Here is an 18,859-nt window from a genome sequence, read left to right as displayed (position 1 = left end):
GGTGAGGTCATGTTTTCCTGCATGGTTTTGATGCTTGTGGATGTTTGTCGGTGTCTGGGCATTGAAGAGTTTGGTATTTATTATAGTTTTTGCAGTCTGGGCTTGTTTGTACCCATCCTTGTTGGAAAGGCTTTCCAGGTATTCAAAGGGACTTTGGTGTTGTGATCTAAGTTTCTGGTCGCGGCGGCTGTATCTGCACTAGGAGGCACCCCATGCCCAGTAATGCTGAAGCTATTGCAGACTCTTAGAGGTACTACCTTGGTGGTCTTGGATAAAATCCAGAATTCTCAGGATTAGCAGGCAGAAGCTCTTGTTCTCTTCCCTTACTCTCTCCCATATGGAGTCTCTCTCTCTCTCTTTCTCTGTGCTAAGCTACCTGGAGCTGGGGGTGGGGTGATATAAGCATCTCTGTGGCCACCACTACTGGGAATGTGTTGGGTCAGACCTGAAGCTAGCACAGCACTGGGTCTTACCCAAAGCTCATTGTAACTACTGCCTGGCCACCACCTAAGTTTGCTCAAGGTGTAGGGCTCAACAGTCAGCAGGTGGCAAAGCAAACCAGGCTGGTGACCTTCCCTTCAGGGTGGCAAGATCCCCCAGGTCATAGTCAGGTCCAGAGATGCTGCTGTCCAGGAGCCAGGGCCTGGAGTCAGACACCTTAGAAATCTACCTGATGCTCTACTCTACTGCAGCTGAGCTGGTGCTGAAACCACCAGACAAAGTCCTTCCCACCCTTCCTTCCCCTTTCCCCAGGCAGAGTGGTCTCTCCTCATTTCCACCACTACCACAGGCCCGTGGGAGGTAATGCCTGGCTACCGCCAACATTCACTTAAGGCTGAAGGACCTTTCAGTCAGCTTGTGGTGAGTGCTGCCAGGCCTGGAACTCACCCTTCAGGGCAGTGGGCTCTCTTCCAGCCCAGGGCAGGTCCAGAAATGCCACCCAAGAGCCAAGGCCTGGAATCGGGGACCACAAGAGCCTGCTTGGTGCTGCTCCCCACTGAGGCCAAGCTGGTACCTAAGCTGATTTTTGGTTCTTATGAAAGTGCTTTTTGTGTAGATCGTTATCAAATTTGGTGTTCCTGAGGGGAGGATGAACAGTGGAGGCTTCTACTTGGTCATCATGCTCCACCTCCTCTCCAACATAGTTTTTTATAGTAGATCTGAATAATATGTCTTATCTTTATTACTGATTTTATTGTGCTGATTAAAAATGATAGTAACCTTCACAATTATGTAATTGTTTTTTATACAAAAGTACCAGGAAGTAAGCATTTGGTCTTCTGGTATTTCAAGAGATGAAATGGAAGCCAGATAGATTTTGATGTATCTCTATTTATGACCAAATTTATACATGTTATTACTCCAAAAAGTACTACTAGCAAGTAATGAAATGATTTCATGGCATGTATAAATGGTGTCAAGTCAAATGGTAACTCTGAGAACTGAAAGATGATCTGAGGGAAGAAAACAATGCTTTCCTTTTTTATGGCACATCCACAGGACCACAGTTCACCAGCCACAAAAGTCATTTGAAAAAATGTCCCATGAGACTTGCCCTTCATAGCAGTCTCTCAGTTCCTGGCATTTCACATTATTGGAACAGATGTGACATTTTACATTCTTTTTGTTTCATGTGTGTCTGTAGTCCTGCTGTTAGCATGGTGCTCTAGCATAGCAGGAAGCTTTAGTGAAGCAGCTAAGAGGGCAGGCTCTGGAACTTCCTAGCTGTGCAGTCTTGGACAAGTCACTTAACTTGGCTGTGTCTCTTCATCATCTACAACAGCAGTCTGCAACCTTTTTGGCACCAGGGACTAGTTTCGTGGAAGACCATTTTTTTCCACAGAACTGGGGGGTAGGGGGTGGTTTCTGGATGAAATTGTTCCACCTCAGACCATCAGGCATTAGATTCTAATGAGTGCATAACTCAGACCCCTCACATGCTCAGTTTGTAGATTTTACAAAGTAAGAACAGAGGACCTACCCCTTAGAATTGTGAAAATTAAGTGATTTCTTGTTAAAATATGGAGCACAATTTCTAGCACCCAGATAGCATTTAACAAAAGTCAGCTATTATTATAGTAGATAATGAATAACTATTGAGTTAATAAAAAGAATGAGGTCCATGATCATGTAAATAGGCATCATCCTTCTTAATTTGGGTTCACATATTAGAGGTAAGTTTAACTTCTGATTTTCTTTGAAACATTTAATTGAAGAATATATCCTTTTTTTTTTTTTCAGATGCTGTCTTTGCAGGTGCCATGCCTACAATGGCAAGTGTCAAGCTGTCTACACTTCATCCCATTGTGAATCATCCACATTACGAAGATGCAGACTTGAGGTTGGCAGCTGATAAGTATTTCTTCAAGACTCACTTGGCGACTCCCAATTCTTAGGAACTGGGAAAATTTTTACACACACACACACACACACACACACACACACACACACACAAACTCATCCTCATTTTCATACTGGAAGTTAAAAAAAGTGACAATAACCATCCAGAAATGATGTGTGTGTGTATTCCAGTAAAACTACTAGGTAGTTGGAAGAGTAGGTAGGACGGATTTTACTCACAGCCATGGTTTGCCAACCCCTGCTCTACACCAGAAGCCCCACTCTGATTTAAGAAATGATTTCTAGATCTTACTGGTGGCCAATGACTAGCTTTTTGTGACAGGTAGAAAAAATACATGAAATTTGCTATTATATATTACGTGCTTTCATGAAAATTTAGAGTATTTTTGCTAGTCGATTATGAGAACTCTAGTTTCCATTGATGTCTAAAAGTTTTGCTTACCTTAAATGGCTGGTTTAAAAAATTATTTTGGTTATTCTAGTAGTTGTCAGGGTAATCGTTTTTAAAAGTGGATTTTTGGCCTATTGTTAGAGGCAAATGTTTAAATTATTTAAAAGTTTTAGGTCTGCTGTCTAGGAGCCAGGGCTTGGAGTCAGACACCTTAGAAATGTACCTGATGCTCTCTCTGTTCTACTGCGGTGAACTGGCATGGAAACCACTGTGGTGACTGAGCATTCCATATGCTTGAAATTCTAAGCAACATCCAATGCATAAGTGATAGTTTGTTAGGATTTTGTAAGAACTCCCACTATGGTCAAATCACCTATTGTACCATATTTTGGTGACCATCCCCATTTCTCAAGACTCTGTGAAGGTGCTTTTCCTACCTCTTCTGACACCCTGGATGCCCATTGTCTAAGTGTTCTACTTGATACACTAAATTTCAATTCATGTATTTGTCAGAGCTTCTTTAGATGAAATTAAGCATTGAAAGATGTGTTTTCACTACATTCAGTCTCTGTCAGAATATAGTCTCTGAAAACTGTGTGAATTATGAGAAGAAAATTGTATATCCTAAGCTGCTCTCTGCTACCCAGTACAACTTTACACTATCTTATACAGTAATGAGCAGTATATGCAAAATTAAATTGCTGTAAGTTTTATTACATTCAAAATATAAGTAGGAATGTGGAAACTGCCATCCCCAAAATAATTGATGCTGTTTTGAGTCATGTATATCAGTGTTCCATCCAGTGAGTATTGAGATTTCAATTTGCTAGTAAGATTTTTTTAGTCTATTCTATTATCATTTATTTTAAAATCTTTTAAAATATTGTTTAAATTTAAAGGGCTTGGACAAAAATAGTTTATTCTACATATAGTGGAAAATCTGCCAAAGAAGTAAGAGATAAATTGTTGGAGTTACATGTGAATTATTATGTTTTAGAAGAGGCATGGTGTGTTGTGAGAACTAAGTGAGTATTAAACCTATGCTATCTGATATGGTATATTTTTGAGCAACAAATGTTTCACTTTATTACAGTAGTCCTGATTCTTTAAGAATTTTTATTTTAAATTTATTAAAATATTATCCTGGTACCTTAGTTTAAATTATTTCATCTAGAGACATAAAACTATATTATCAATGAAGTAGAATTTAATTCCAAACATTATAGTATATTTAATATCCTGATTTTTCAATTTAACATCTTCCACTTAGCTTTTTTCATAATTTTTGAAATATTTATGAAAATTTTTATTAGATATCTGTAATATGGATTTGAATTTACAACAAAGTGAGATATTGGCATTCTGTATTATAGCTGAATTATATTGGATTTGTAAGACTTAAAAGAAAAGTGACAAAACCCAAAATGACCTAAGGAAAACATTCCTAATTAAAATTTTTTAATTTCTGAATTTTGAATCTCTAAAAATCATAAAATTCTAAGATGTGTAATTGATCTTATGAGTCCTTTGTTTAGGCTCCTAAGCACAGATATTAGCTGCTGCACATGACAGGAAATTCAGGCACATTAATTGTCTCCTAGAATGACACATTGGCAATCAGAAGAACAAAACAGGTTCTACGGTCACTTCAAAATATCATTTAAAATGTGCAAAAAGTTTCAGAGATTCAAACTAAAATGAGAAAGTATGACCAATACTCTGAAAAAAATAAGTTAATAGAAACCGATTCAAGTAGGTCCAGATGTTGGATTTAGCAGCCAAAGACTGCAAAGCCACTATTACAAATACATTCAAAGGCTTAAGAAAAATGTATTCAATGAATTAAAAGAAAACATGGTATCCATGAGTGAAGAGCTATGGAATCTCAGCAGAGAAATAGAAACACTCCAGCCCCCATGGAAATTCTAGAGCTGAAAAGTATAATAAATAAAATGAAAATCATTTAAATGTACTCAACAACAATTTTGAGATGAAAACAGAACATTTGAACAGAAAATGCAGTGAATTTGAAGATAGATGAAGAGAGGATAGTTAATCAAAAGAACAGGAGCCAAAAAGATTGAAAAATAACCAAAGTCACAGACCTATGTAACATTAAGTAGTTCAACACATGCATAATTTTAGTATTAGATGTAATGAAAAAAAGAACATGACCGAAAAAATATTGAAGAAATGTTGGCCGAAAATTTCTCAAGTTTGATAAAAGCTACTAACTTAGAGATCCGCTAAGCTCAACAAATCCAACTGGGTGAAGCCCAAAGAAAACCAAAGCAAGGAACATTACAGTCAAAACGGTAAAATCAAAGATTAAGAGAAAAATCTTGAAAATAAGAGAAAAAAAGATATGCTATATAAACATCTGACTTCCCAACATAAATAGTGGAAATTATCCGACACTGGAATGATAATTCAAAGTGCTGAAGATGAAAAATCAAGAATTCTATATTTAATGAAACTATCTTTTTAAAATGGAGGCCAAAAATACATTTTTCAGATCAACAAAATCTAAGATAATTTGTTGGTAACAGATTTATACTTCAAGATGGACAAGAAGTTCTATCAGCTGATGAGAAATGATGCCAGATGGTAACTCAGATATACAAGAAATACTGAAATGCGCTGGAAAAGGTAAATATGTGGATATTAATCACTATACGTTTTTCTTCTCTGAAAATCTTTAAAAGACATTATTTAAGGCAAAAGTGATACCATTATATTTTTTAGTTTATGACAGAAATTAAATATACATGACAATAGCACAAAAATTGAGTAAACCGTGGAAATGTACGATTTACTAGAAATAACCCAATTTAAATGGTAAGTAAATCATGATATGTTAAAGATGCTTGTTGTCATCCCTATCAAAACCACTCAAAAAATAAATAAAACAGTGGGGAAAAAAAGAGCATAATGGCAAGCCTAGATATGGATGAGCCTGGATACATTAAGTGAAATAAGTCAGACACAGAAAGATGAATAGTGCATGTTGTCACTCATGTGGAAGCTCAAAGAAGTAGCTCATAGAAGTAGAGTAGAATTGTGGTAATTAGAGGCTGAGTGGGAAGGGTAGGGAGGAGAAGAAGATAAGGAGAGGTTGGTTAAGAGATAAAAAACTACAGATAAATAGAAGGAATAAGTTACAGTGCTCTCTGGCACTGTAGAGTGAATATTAGTTAACAGTAATTTATCGTTATATGTCAAGAAAGCCAGAACAGAGGATTTTGAATGTTCCCAGCACAAACAGATGGTAAACGTTTGTGGTGATGGATATCCTAATTACCCTGATTTGATCATTACACATTGTAATTATGCATTGAAATATCACTCTATACTTCATAAATATGTACAAGTATTACTTGTCAACTGAAACTAAAAGGGGAAAAAAACTAAACATATAACTAACTTAAGACCCAGCAATTGTATTGGGCATTTTTTCCCAGAAAGGTGGAAAGTTGTGTTCACACAAAATTCTGTAGAAAAATGTCTATAGCAGCTTTATTTGTAATAGCCTAAACCTGAAACAACCAAGATGTTTTTTGCAAGGTGAATGATTAAATAATAGTGATCTATTCATACCATGGAATACTGCTCAGCAATAGGATCAAACTATTGATACACTCAAGATCCTGGATGAATCTCCAGAGAATTGTTTGAATGAAGAAAAGACAATCCCCAAAGGTTACCTACTGTATGATTCCATTTGTATAACTGTCTTCAAATGACAAAATTATAGATATGGATGATTTGTGGTTGCAAGGGGTTAGGGTGGGGTGGGAATGTGGGGGAAGTATAGTATGTGTGGCTATACAAGGGATCTCTATGGTGATGGAAATGCTCTCTATCACCATTCTATCAATGTGAATTATCTGGCTGTGATATTATACAAATGTTCAAGATGTTACCATGGCAGAGGACACTGTCTAAAGACTGTACAAGAGCTACTTGTATTATCTCTCACTTAATGTGGATCTCCAAATGTCTTGAAATAAAAAGTTTTTTTAAAAAAACAAAAGAGCACTATAGCAAGCCTATATCAAACCATATCAGTAATTTCAAAGTGAAAGAGGACTAAATTCTTCCTAACAAAAGGTGGAGATTGGCAAACTGAATACAAGAGCAAAACCTATCTATGGACTGCCTGCAAGAGGTGCATTTTAAATATAGATATGTATATTGGCTGAAGGAAAAAGAATGGAAAAGATATCATGTGAGTAAACATTAGAAAAGCTGAAGTGAAAAATGTATAAATATCAGAGAAGATAGATGTTAAGACAAAGAATATTACTAGAAACAACTATGTTTTATAATGCAAAATAGTTCAGTACAGGAGAAAGATACAATAATTTGAGTGCATATGAACTTAAAAGAGAATTTCAAAATAAATGAAGCAAAAATTGACAGAACCCAAAAGGCAACAAACAAGATTAAAATGGAATTATAAAAATCACTCAATCCAAAATAAGGCAGAAGAAGCGGAAAAGGGAGATGACGATCAGATGGAACAAAGAGAAAACGCTGAGATGACAGACTTAAATCTAACCATATTAATTATCACATTAAGTGTAAATGGACTTGTGGTAGGCTGAATAATGAGCCCCCCACGATGGCCATGTCCTAATTCCCAGAAATTGTGAATTACGTTACTCACATGGAAAAAGGAAATTTGCAAATGTGATTAAATTAATGCTCATGAGATGTGGAGATTATCCTTATTATCCAGGTAGGGCAAATGTAATCACAAAGTCTTTATAAGGAGGAGGCAAACGAGTAAGAGATCAAAAAGGCGATGTGATGGTAGAAGCAGAAGTTCGAGTGATATAAGGCCACAAGCCAAGGAAGGAGGCCAGCTTCTAGGGCTGGAAAAGGCAAGGAAGTGGATTTTCTTCTAGAGCCTCCTGAAGGATTGGAGTCCTGCCAATACTGTGATTTTAGACTTATGAGCTCCAAAATTTGAAAGAGAATAAATATATGTTGCTTTAAGCAACTGTTTGTGGTAATTTGTTATAGCAGCAATAGGAAACGAATATAGCTCTAAACACCACAAATGAAAAGCAAGAATTGTCAGATTGCATAGCAAAGCAAGACCCTACTATAGGCTGCTTTCAAGAAATTTACTTAAATATAAAGAAACGAAGAGGTTAAAAGTTAACAGATAGGAAAAGGACATGTGATGCTACTACTTGTCAGTGAAAGCTGGTGTGACTGTAATAACATCACAGTACATTTGAATGCTAAGAATATTATCAAGGTTAAACAAGGATTTTTAAATGAAGAAGGGATCTATATTTCAAGAGGATGTGGCAACCCTGAACATTTATGCACTTAGATAACAGAGCTTCAAAAATATGAAACACAACTGATAGAACTTTAGGAAAAAATAGACAAATCTACAGTATAGTTAGAAATTTTAATAGCCTTGTCTAAATAATTTGTAGAACAAATAAAAAGAAATTTGGCAAGAATATGGAAGACTTGAATGACGCCATCAACCAATATGACCTAATTGACATTTATAGTACACACCACCCTAGAACAGCAAAATAGACATTCAAGCACACGCAGACTATTTATCAAAAAAGACTATTTTCTAGGCCACAAAGCAAGTATTGACACATTTAAAATACTTTAGATCATGTAAAGTACAATCTCTGACTACAATGAAATTAAATTAGAAATCAGTAACAGAATTCTATACGGAAATTCCCTCAAATGTTTAGAAACTAAGTAGTACACTTCCAGATAATCCATGGTCAAGAAGAAACAAAAGGAGGGTTAGTTTCAACGTATGTTGACCTAAGGGAAAATGAGAACACCATCCCGCTGTTTGTGGGATGCAGATACAGCAGTAGAGAGATTTGTTTTTATGTTGAATGCCCATAATAGAAAAAGAAGAAAGGCCTCATATCAGTCACTCAGCTTCACCTTAAGGAACTAGAAAAATAAAAGAATAAGTAAACTCCAAAGTAAGGAGAAGAAAAAGAAAGCATAAAGATTAGAATCAAAATCAGTGTGTATTTCCTCCCCAAACAGGGAAAAGTCAGTAAAACCAAACACTGATTCTTGAGAAGATTAATAAAATTGATAAATTCCTACCCAAACTAAAAGATTGAAGACAGAAATTACTAGTATCAGGAATAAGAAAGATTTTATCACTACAGGATCTGAAGAAATGAAAAGGATAATGAGGGAGTTTTAGGAACAACTTTATTCCACTAAGTAGGACAAAATAGATAAAATGGACAAGTTCCTTGAAAGATGCAAAATCAAAGCTCACTTAAGAAATAGAAAATCTTATATCTATTACCTTATTATGAATGACCTTGTATCTATTAATAAAATTATATTTGTAGTAAAAAGAATTGTCACAAAGAAAACTTTAAGACAGATATCTTCACTGGAAATAATTCCAATTCTACAAACTATTCCAGAAAATTCAAAAGGAGGGATTACTTCCCAACTGGTTCTGTGAGGTCAGCATTATCCTGATACCAACATGAGAGAAACATTACAATAAAAGGAAACAACCAATCAAAATTTATCATGAACACATGTGTGAAGTTTTTAAGTAAAATTGCAACAAATGAATCCAGCAATATATTAAAGAAAGACAATACATAATGTGCAAGTGGAGTTTATCCCAGGAATGCAAAGTTGTCTCACTATTTGAAAACCAATCAAGTGAATTCACCATAGTAACAAACTGAGAAAGAAAGACCGCATCATCACGCATCATCCTCTGAGTACATTCAGGAAAAAGTATTTGACACAATTCAGTATCCATAACTGATTAAAAACCCTCAGCAAACTAGGAGTAGAAGGTAACTTGCTACTAAGAATCTAAGAATATAAAATTTCTAGAAGAAAATATGGAAGAAAATTATTGTAACCTTGGATTAGGCTAAGATTTCTCAGATACAGTAACATAATCATGATCCACAAGAGAACACATTGATAAATAGGACTTCATTAAAACTGTAAACCTCTGCTTTTTTATAAACAGTATTAGGAAGAATTAAAAGATAAACCACAGTCTGGGAGAAAATATTTTCAAAGCCTATGTCTGATAAAGGACTTTTTCTAGATGTATAAAAAACTCTCAAAACCCAATAATAAGAAAACAACCCAATTAAAAATGGACAAAACAGGCCGGGCGCAGTGGTTGGCTCACGCCTGTAATCCCAGGATTTTGGGAGGCTGAGGCGGGTGGATCACCTGAGGTCAGGAGTTCGAGATCAGCCTGGCCAACATGACTAAACCCCATCTCTACTAAAAATACAAAAAGCCAGGCGTGATGGTGGGCGCATATAATCCCAGCTACTCGGGAGGCTGAAGCAGGATAATTACTTGAACCCAGGAGACGGAGGTTGCAGTGAGCCGAGATTGTGCTGTTGCACTCCACTGGGCGACAGAGCAAGACCTTGTCTCAGAAAAAAAAAAAAGAAAAGAAAAAAAAAGGGACAAAGGGACAGATGGCAAATAATCACACAAAAAGATGCTTGATGTTACTAGTGATTTGTGAAATGCAAATGAAAATTACAGTGAGATGTAACTAAACACTTAATAAAATAGCTATAACTGAAAAAAGAACTGCCAACTGTTGCTGACACTATGGAGGACTTAGAACTCTCATACACCAGTGGTGCAAAAGTAATATGGTACAACCACTCTGCAAGACAGTTTAGCAATTTTATAAAAAGTTAAACATACAACTACTGTATTTATTAAAATAAAAGAAAGCACATATCCATCCCAGGAATTGTACACAAATGTTCATAGCACTTTATTTTCTGTATTAGCCCCAAACTGGAAACAATCCACTTATTTATCAGCAGATGAATGTATAAACACACTATTAGAATATCCAAACAATGTAAATATTACTCACTAATAAAAATGAACGAACTATTGATACAGCAATATGGATGGATCTCAAAATAATTCTACTGAGGACAAGAAGCCAGACAAAAAAGAAAGCATGCAATAATTAGGATTACAAAAGGGCAGAAGTAAACTTTTGGGAGAGATGGATATGTTCATGATTTTTATTGTGGCTGCTGTTTTACAAGTGTATACCTATGTTAATATGTATCCAAGTGGATACTAAATATGTGCAGCTTATTGAGTAATTATTGAGCAATTATGCCTTAATACATCTGCTAAAAAAATCTGGCAGACTTTTACCCAGAATATACAAAGAACTCTCACACCTCAATAAGAACCAACACAAAATTTGGCAAAATATTTGAATAGAAATTTCACCAAAGAAGATATTTTGAATCATCCATAACCATACTATAACGATTAAAATTACAAAAACTGATACAACTTAAACTCTCATGCATTGTTGGTGGAAATGGAAAATGGTGCATCTACTCTGGAAAACAGTTTTGAACTTGCTTATAAAGATAAATCCACACTTAATCATACATAACCATGCAACCCAGCAATTCCACTCCTAGGTGTTTCCCTAAGAGAAATGATAACATATGTCCACAAAAAGCCTTGTCCGTGAATGTTTATAGTGGCATTGTTCATGGTCACCAAAAACTCAAAACATCTCAAATGTTCATTAACTTGCAAATGGATAAACAAATTGTGTTCTCTATATACAATGAAATATTATTTAGCAACAAAAGGGAAGGAACTACTGAACCACAACAGAAGTTGTAGGAACTACAGCTCAGATATGAATATCAAAAACATGCTATGGTAAAGAAGCCAAAAATGAAAAGACTACATAATATATTTATATGAAATTCTAGAAAAAGCAAAACTGTAATGCAGAAAGCACAGTAGTTGCCTGAGGCCATGTTTGGGGAAGATGGTAGATTGCAAAAGGGCACAGGGAACTTGTGGGGGTGATGGAAATTTTCTGTATTATGATTGTGGTAGTGCTTACACATGTATACACATTTGCCCATACCTGGCAAACTTTACACATAAAATAGGTGAAGTTTTATTGTGTATAACTTATACTTCAATATAGATGTTAAAAAATTAGAAATCAATTTTGTCTGACTCCTTCCCTTTAATGACTGCCATGCAGGATTACTCTCTAGGGAGGAATAGTGTCTCATTTAGCCCAGTCATAGAGCCACCCAAAATGGGAAAGCATTGAAGAAAACAAATTGCCGTAAGAGTCTCCTGTCCCTGCCTTGGATCATTTCATGCTAATCCAAGGCAGTTTATGCTAAAAAATGTGAAATTCATCAGGAATTCGATTAGGTTTTAATTTGTCTTATTTTACTACAAATGGGCCTTATGTTTAGATGGTGATGGCACTTGGAAATTATATTTATGTTTGTTTCATCTTGAAAGTGTGCTTTTACATATATATTTATGAATGTATATTGAAGCTTTATTATTAGGATATGTCTTTCATTTGGTCAAATGAGATGCGAAAATGCAACGTGCTTAATTTCATTCTATTTTTTAAATTTCTAAACATTGAAATTGTTTTTTGAAATGACGCTTTAAAATATTTAACTTATGAAATAAATTTGTCTCTGAAAATCTAGATGTTGTGTTATGTATCTATTTTCTCTAGACAGGAATACATTTCTAATATGGATATATATGTCTGTCTTTTTTCAGGCCTGGTTGCAGCATGCTTGAAATCTGGGATGTGGAAGACCCTTCCAATGCAGCTAACCCTCCCTTATGTAGCGTCCTCCTTGAGCCGAGATTGTGCCACTGCACTCCAGCCTGGGCGACAAATCAAGACCCCGTCTCCAAAAAAAAAAAAAACAAAACTTGATTGGGATCCAAAATCATACAACTATACACTAAAATCAGTGAATATTACCTTATGTAAATTAAAAATTAGGAAATCAAAAGAAAAGCATACATATAAAAAACAGTTTTTTCTAAGCATTTCTCATTTGTAGGGTGTTTGAATTACGTTGTATGTTGTCTCATTTCACCCCCATAACAAATCTATGAAAGAGGTACTTTTATCCCCATGTTAACGTGAATAAACCCAGGTTTGGAAAAGTTGAGAAACATACTTACTGTCATATAGTTAACAAGTGACCGAGCAGGGATGTGAAGCCAGATTCCTCTGACTCCAAGGTCTGAGTTCTTCCTCCTGCACAGTGGTCAATTGGCTAGATCCACATAAACAGCATGCACAAACTCACCACTCACACATACATACCCACAGACACACACCACACAGATGGGATACATCTCACAATCACATATATGGAATGAGTGATATGCAAATATAAAATTGCATTATTTTTATATTATTCTCATTTTATATAAATCCTACCACGAGGCATAGTCTGTCTCATTCATTCATTCATTTATCCATCCCTTCATTTATTCCCTCATTTCCTCAGGAAATAGCTTCCTTTGTGGCAGGTGCTATTCCAGACTCTGGAGATACTACAGTAAACAAAACAGAATAAACTCAAAAACTCTAAAATGCAACAATAAAAAACAAGGAAATTTCAAAAAGGATCAAAGTTTTGAACAGACCTTTCAACTGAAATATATATGTAGTTAATACACACACAAAAAACAAGTAAATAACAAGTGGGATATTTGGTAGTGACAAGGGCTATGAAGAAACACTAAAGCAAAGTAAGAAGAGTGAGTAAGAGGAGGAACTGTTTTAGAGACAGTGACCGGGGAGGCCTCTCTGCGAAGGGGAATTGAAGCACAGAATGGATGGAAGAGAGGCAGGGAGTATTGGGAAGGTCTGGGAGAAGGTTTTTCCCGGACACAGGAATAACCAGGAGAAGCCCCTGAGGCAGGAGTTGCTTGGCATGTTTGAGGTACAGCCAGTGGGCTGCTCGGCTTGGGTGAGCTTGCAGGGCTGAGAGTGGGAGGAAGCCAGGGAAGCTGTAGAACTTTCCTACTTACAGTGCGTAATTGTAGCTGTTCTTCAATTCTCCAGTATAAGTGTATCTCCCTGGTTAATTGCAAATTATTTACAGGACCATGCTTTCTATTTTTTAAATGAATCTCAGTCTGTACCTGGCACTTCACTGGGCATGGAGCTAATGCCAAATAAAAACGTGATGGTTGATGAGTGCTGTTCATACACATTTCCCAGTGGTTCTACCCCCGGAAGGCAGCTATGTGATCAATAAATAGGACGCTAGGAGAGTGGGAATTTCCAGCAGTGCTTCATACTGTCACCTTTGAGACCTATAGAGAGTTCTGCTGAGGGCAAGGTTTTGTGGTATAGGAGGTCATCCTGATGAGGGTTTTTGTTTTTTTTTTTAAATGGTGGCTTTTAGCGTAAATTGGCAGGGATTGATCAGGTGTTTCCTCTGGGCTAATGCTCCTTAGGGATCATGGGATGTGGTCTGCACACTCAACTGAGAAGGTCCAGTAATGGCAAGGCAGTCACCAGGGGACCCATGTCCTCAGAGGACCTGGCTCCTCAGAGAAACCGCAGGTTCACTGGGGGAGATTATCAGGACTTTAGACCTCAGGATGAAGAGACACACTCCAGGAGGGGCTGTGGATAGTTACCATGGTGCCCCAGAAAGGTGTCAGGGTAGTGCATGGGGAAAGCCCCCCAGGGTCCTGGCCAGCTTAGAGGCAATGGTGAGGAGCATGCTGGGCAGACTGTGCGGGGTCCAGTCATGATCAGCCTAGCTCCTGAGGGGCTTTGCGTGGCACAGGTGTGACAATAAGAGCAAAGATTCCAGTAAGGAACAAAGAGAGAGTGAGTCTCTAGGAAGCCTGGACTTTTGATTTAGCCAGACTTGGGTTTGCAGCCTGGCTCCTGCCCAGGGTAGAGTAAGCTCCTGTCACCACCACCGCCATTACAGGGGAATCCTAGCAAATCTATGAGAGCCAGAAGCTAGACACAATGCCTGGTGCTTAGTGCTCACCATATACTTGTCCTTGGATAGCCAATATCAAGTTAAATTTGCCAGAATTGTCACTCTGGGCCAGAAAGAGCTGTGTCCTGGCAATGGTGGCAGGGAGTCACCAGCAGGATCGGGTAGGACCCATGGTCACCACAGTGGCTAGTGCTGTGAGGAGGATGGAGATGCGGGAGAGTTTGCTCCCATAGGCCAGCACCATGGTGGGGCCACTGAGACTGAGACCAGCGCACTGAGGGCTGGGCCTGGCAGTGGCCCCTTTGCACAGGCAGAAGAGCCTCCTGGAAAAGGACTCAGTCTGGGCCCACTATGGGGGCTGACTGCTTGTAAGGAACGGAATAGACCACCAGGGGAGAACACCTCCCACATGAGGTAGTGCCAGAGCAAGACGCTGGACCTGACAACAAAGCCTTCAGTGGTGAAGACAGCAGAGACTCCAAGCTCCCTGTGAAGGAAGTGACTCATCCCGTCCCTAGCCCAGCTCCTTTCCTAAGGAGGAAAAAGGTGAGAATTCCAAAAAGAAAAACTCTGTCAGTAAATTCTAACATGGGAGATCTCAAGGAGCCCTACTTGGCCCCCGTCCAACAGCCAGTAACACAAAAAGCTGGCTGCTCAGAGACCACAGCACTGTCTGTTCTTAGGACAGAAGAGCAGATGGGTGGCACACAGGCCATAACCACCAACATGGAGTTGCTGTGCCAGGTGGAGCCAGGGCCTCACTCCTGCACCCCGTGGAGCTGTGACAGCTGGTGGCGGGCATTCTGGTGACAAGTGAGCCATGAGCAGGCTTGCGTGGCACAGAAAGCGGGCTCATTCTTACATACCCATGAGACACCCTCCGGAGAGTCCCAGAAATACTGTCCTGGAGCTTACAGGTGGAGAAGGTGTGAAGGTCTGCAGGTGCAAATGAGGCCAAGCAGTGAGATTTAAATTGGTCCTGTTAACCTGACCTCATTTGTATCCTCAGTATGGAGGTGCTTTGGGAAGATAAGGCAAGAATAGTGATGATCAGTAATAGCATCTACTTGTTGAGCACCTATTGCAGGCAGGTACTAGGCTTAACACTCTAAACATATTTTTTTACTCTTTATCCCAACCCTGAAATAAGGACATTTGAGACAGGAGGAAACTGAGGCTGAGCATTCATGTAAAGGTTGCGGCAGCATCTGGGAGAGATGTGGGAAAGAACAGGAACAGGACCCAAATGTTCACAGCAGAAGCAGTCCCTAGCAGGGGCCCTTCTCTGGCATGCTCGCTGCTCCCTCTGGACTCAGCAGGAGTCTCCAGGCTCCAGGAAGGACATGGAGCAAAGCTCTGCTTTTTGACCTGGGCATCTCCTTTTGAGGGAGTGGTGAGTTAGCCAAATGGGGCATGGAAATGACTGTGAAAATGGAATGGCAGCTGAAAGAAGGTCATGATCCAGGAAAGGGCATGAGGAGGGCAAACTGCAAAAGCCTGAGGCACTGCAGGGATGGGAATGTTGAATGGTATAACGGCACATCAGGGTTTCTATGACTTTGATGCAAGGGGAAAGCAATTTTCACCTCAGACTCAAACTGGAAGTTTTTCTCCCTACCAAAAGGCAGGATGCCAGAGAAACAGACCTTTTCCCTCCTGGGTAAGAGTCTGGTGTTTCTCCAGTGCTCCACTCTGACCTAGCAGGGAGCTAGCAGAGACCATCCCACAGTCACCTCATCCAGCAGAGGATTTTCCACATGTGCCATGGGCTCTGTTCCTCAGCGACTGCAATAACAGAGGTTCAGCATCTGGGGGGTGCCAGGCTAAAGGAAGTCAATCAAGCTTCTTGTTTTGTGTTTCATTTTGCTTTTACCCTAGCATTTTCCAGAGCCTTTAACATGCTAAAACGAATTGTCACTCACCAGGAGTGGAGATGCAGCCGGTCCTGAATTTATCTGAAAAATGAAAATCTTTATTTGGAAAATGCTTATTAACATCTTAGCGAATTGGTGTTCTGGGGAAGATGATTTAGGAAAATCTGCTCTATGCATGTCACTGCCTGCTTCATGATTGCTTACTGCTTAATTTGATGCAACTTTTTTTTTTAACCAAAAGTCAAATAATAACCCAGGTTTACCATTTGCAAAGCTTCCCCCTACTCCCAACACACACACCTTCCTCCTTCTTCCTCTTCTCCCTTTCCCTCTCCCTCTCCTTTTCCTGCCCTTTACTGTACAAGAATGCCTTGAATAAAGAAAACCTATAAAACAGAAATATAAATTTGGAAATGATTATTTAATTGGCCTTTGATTTCATGACAGGCAAAAATAAGTTGGCCCTCATATTTTTTTTTTTTTTGCAAAAAATGATACTTTAAATACTAAAGGATTTAAAGGATACTTGGTAAATATTTGTTGGCTTAATTCATGAAACATGTGGCTGTTATGTGAAAATACATTATCTGTATCCCAGGAATAAAAAGAAAATATCCTTTTTCTGGCCTAGAGCATAATACTTCAGCCCTGAGGGCCCCACTCACTCACCTGGTATTCTATGTATATGGTGCTCCCTGCGGCAGCCCTGGGCTCATTACAAGTAACACTGATTCTTAGGTGTTTTATGCCTTTTTACCAATCTCTTTAGAGGAAGCAGATGAACATTTAGAATTTTAACAGGGAATGTTTACCTGAGGACAGAAGCTAGATGAAAAGATCAGGTGGCACCCAGAACACATATTTTTCCTGACAATCCAGCCAAATGTGAATCCAGGGACTCAGTGTAATTCATCAGAACAAAGCAACACTGCGGGCAGGTTGTGTGGTACCCACTTGCCTTTGTAATACCGCCATGCTCAATTCCAAACACAGCCTGTCAACTCATCAGAGCAGGACTGGTGAGAAAGCCAAGGCTGGCAGCAGGTTTGGTGCCACCTCTTGGTGCCAGAGCCACCTGCACACAGCATGGAGCAAGGGAATAGCCAGGGTGCCCTGGAGCCAGTTCCTTCCAGAAGCCAGCAGCCCTAGGGCTCCTCTATCCCACTCCCAGCAAGAAGAAGCTGCCATGAATATGAAGGTGGGAAGAGGAAGCTCAGACCAGGGGAAGGCTTGGGCTGTGTGTTAATTCTTCTCTGGTCCCCAGGGCCCAACACAGTTGTCTGGTTAATACTGCATTAAATGCAGTGAATTGATTCTAGCCCCAGTTCCACTAAGAAATTCCTGAGTGCTCTCAGAAAGTTACTTCTCTTGGAGCCTGCAGCACAACAAACCACTCAGAGCTTGGTGCTATAAAACAACAGCAAGCATTTGTCATTACTATCTTTCACTTCTTTAGGGGTTGATGGGGCTCAGCTAGGTAGTTTTTGGTCCTCATGCAGTGACAATCAGACAATGGCTGGGGCTAGAGTTCTCTTGAAGGCCTTTCCATTCATACTCTCTGGTGCCTGACTTGGGAAGACCTAAATAGCTGGCGGCTGGAACAGCCGGGGCTCCTCAGGCACCTCTGTCTATTACAGTGTGCTCCCTCCAATGTGGACTCTCTGTCAGGGTAGCTGGACTTCTTACATGAAGTCACCTGTCCCCGGAGACAGGCTGGTGGAAGTCAATAACCCATTGTGATCCAGCTTCACAAGTCAAGCAGTGTCACTTCCACCATATTATATGCACGGAGACAGTCAAAAGCGCTGCCCATGTTCCAGGGCAGGAGATAGATCTCTCTTCTTGATGGGAAGAATGTTAAAGAATTTACAGACTTGCTTTGAAACAGAGCCTTAATTTCTCCATATCCTCTAAATGAGGATAATAATACCTCATGGGCCAGATTTTGTTGATGAGGGGGATGGAAGGATACTTGGGGCTAATGCAGATGAACTCATGTGGTGAAAATTAAGGTGCAGTCCAAACATAAGAGATGGACAATTAGAGCTGTCTGGAGTTACAAATCCTTAAACCGGAACATGTTATAATCTTTCAGAGGCCGAAAAAGTTTTCTTGTTGGCATTCTTCTCTTCAATAAATAAATCACCTGAGTTGCAAAAATACAATTTTCCCCATAAGATCAACAATAAAGCCATTTTGAATGAGAGAGAAATATAGCCTGTAAGTAATTTTTGCTTTTTCCTAATTTTCTCTTGATCAAAATAAGGTTGCCCACCATTGCTATGCATCTTGTTACACTCACTGCCAAGGCTCAGTGTCTTGCAAATGTTGCTGTGCATAAATGTTTATAGTGGAAAGGATTTAAGAACAAAAATGAGTTGTCATTGGCCTATTTAACATTAAGTACA

General features: G+C 38.9%; 1 pseudogene across 2 annotated transcripts in view; it reads left to right on the top strand.

The window, feature by feature from the left end:
• DPY19L2P2 (DPY19L2 pseudogene 2) overlaps positions 1–12,766 on the top strand; it is a 105,454-nt pseudogene extending 92,688 nt beyond the window's left edge. The window contains exons 21-23 of one of the 2 annotated variants that reach the window (NR_027768.1): positions 2,242–2,341; positions 3,652–3,777; positions 12,368–12,766. The product of NR_027768.1 is annotated as a DPY19L2 pseudogene 2, transcript variant 1 (transcript). The remainder of the gene's footprint in view (positions 1–2,241; positions 2,342–3,651; positions 3,778–12,367) is intronic. The other variant, NR_003561.2, reaches the window with a different exon arrangement.
• The last annotated feature ends 6,093 nt before the right edge of the window (positions 12,767–18,859 follow it).

The sequence above is a fragment of the Homo sapiens genome, chromosome 7 (genome assembly GCF_000001405.40).
Source record: "Homo sapiens chromosome 7, GRCh38.p14 Primary Assembly".
Lineage (NCBI taxonomy): Eukaryota > Metazoa > Chordata > Mammalia > Primates > Hominidae > Homo > Homo sapiens.
The sequence above is the reverse complement of the archived record's forward strand: the minus strand, read 5'-3'. Positions and strand labels throughout refer to the sequence as shown.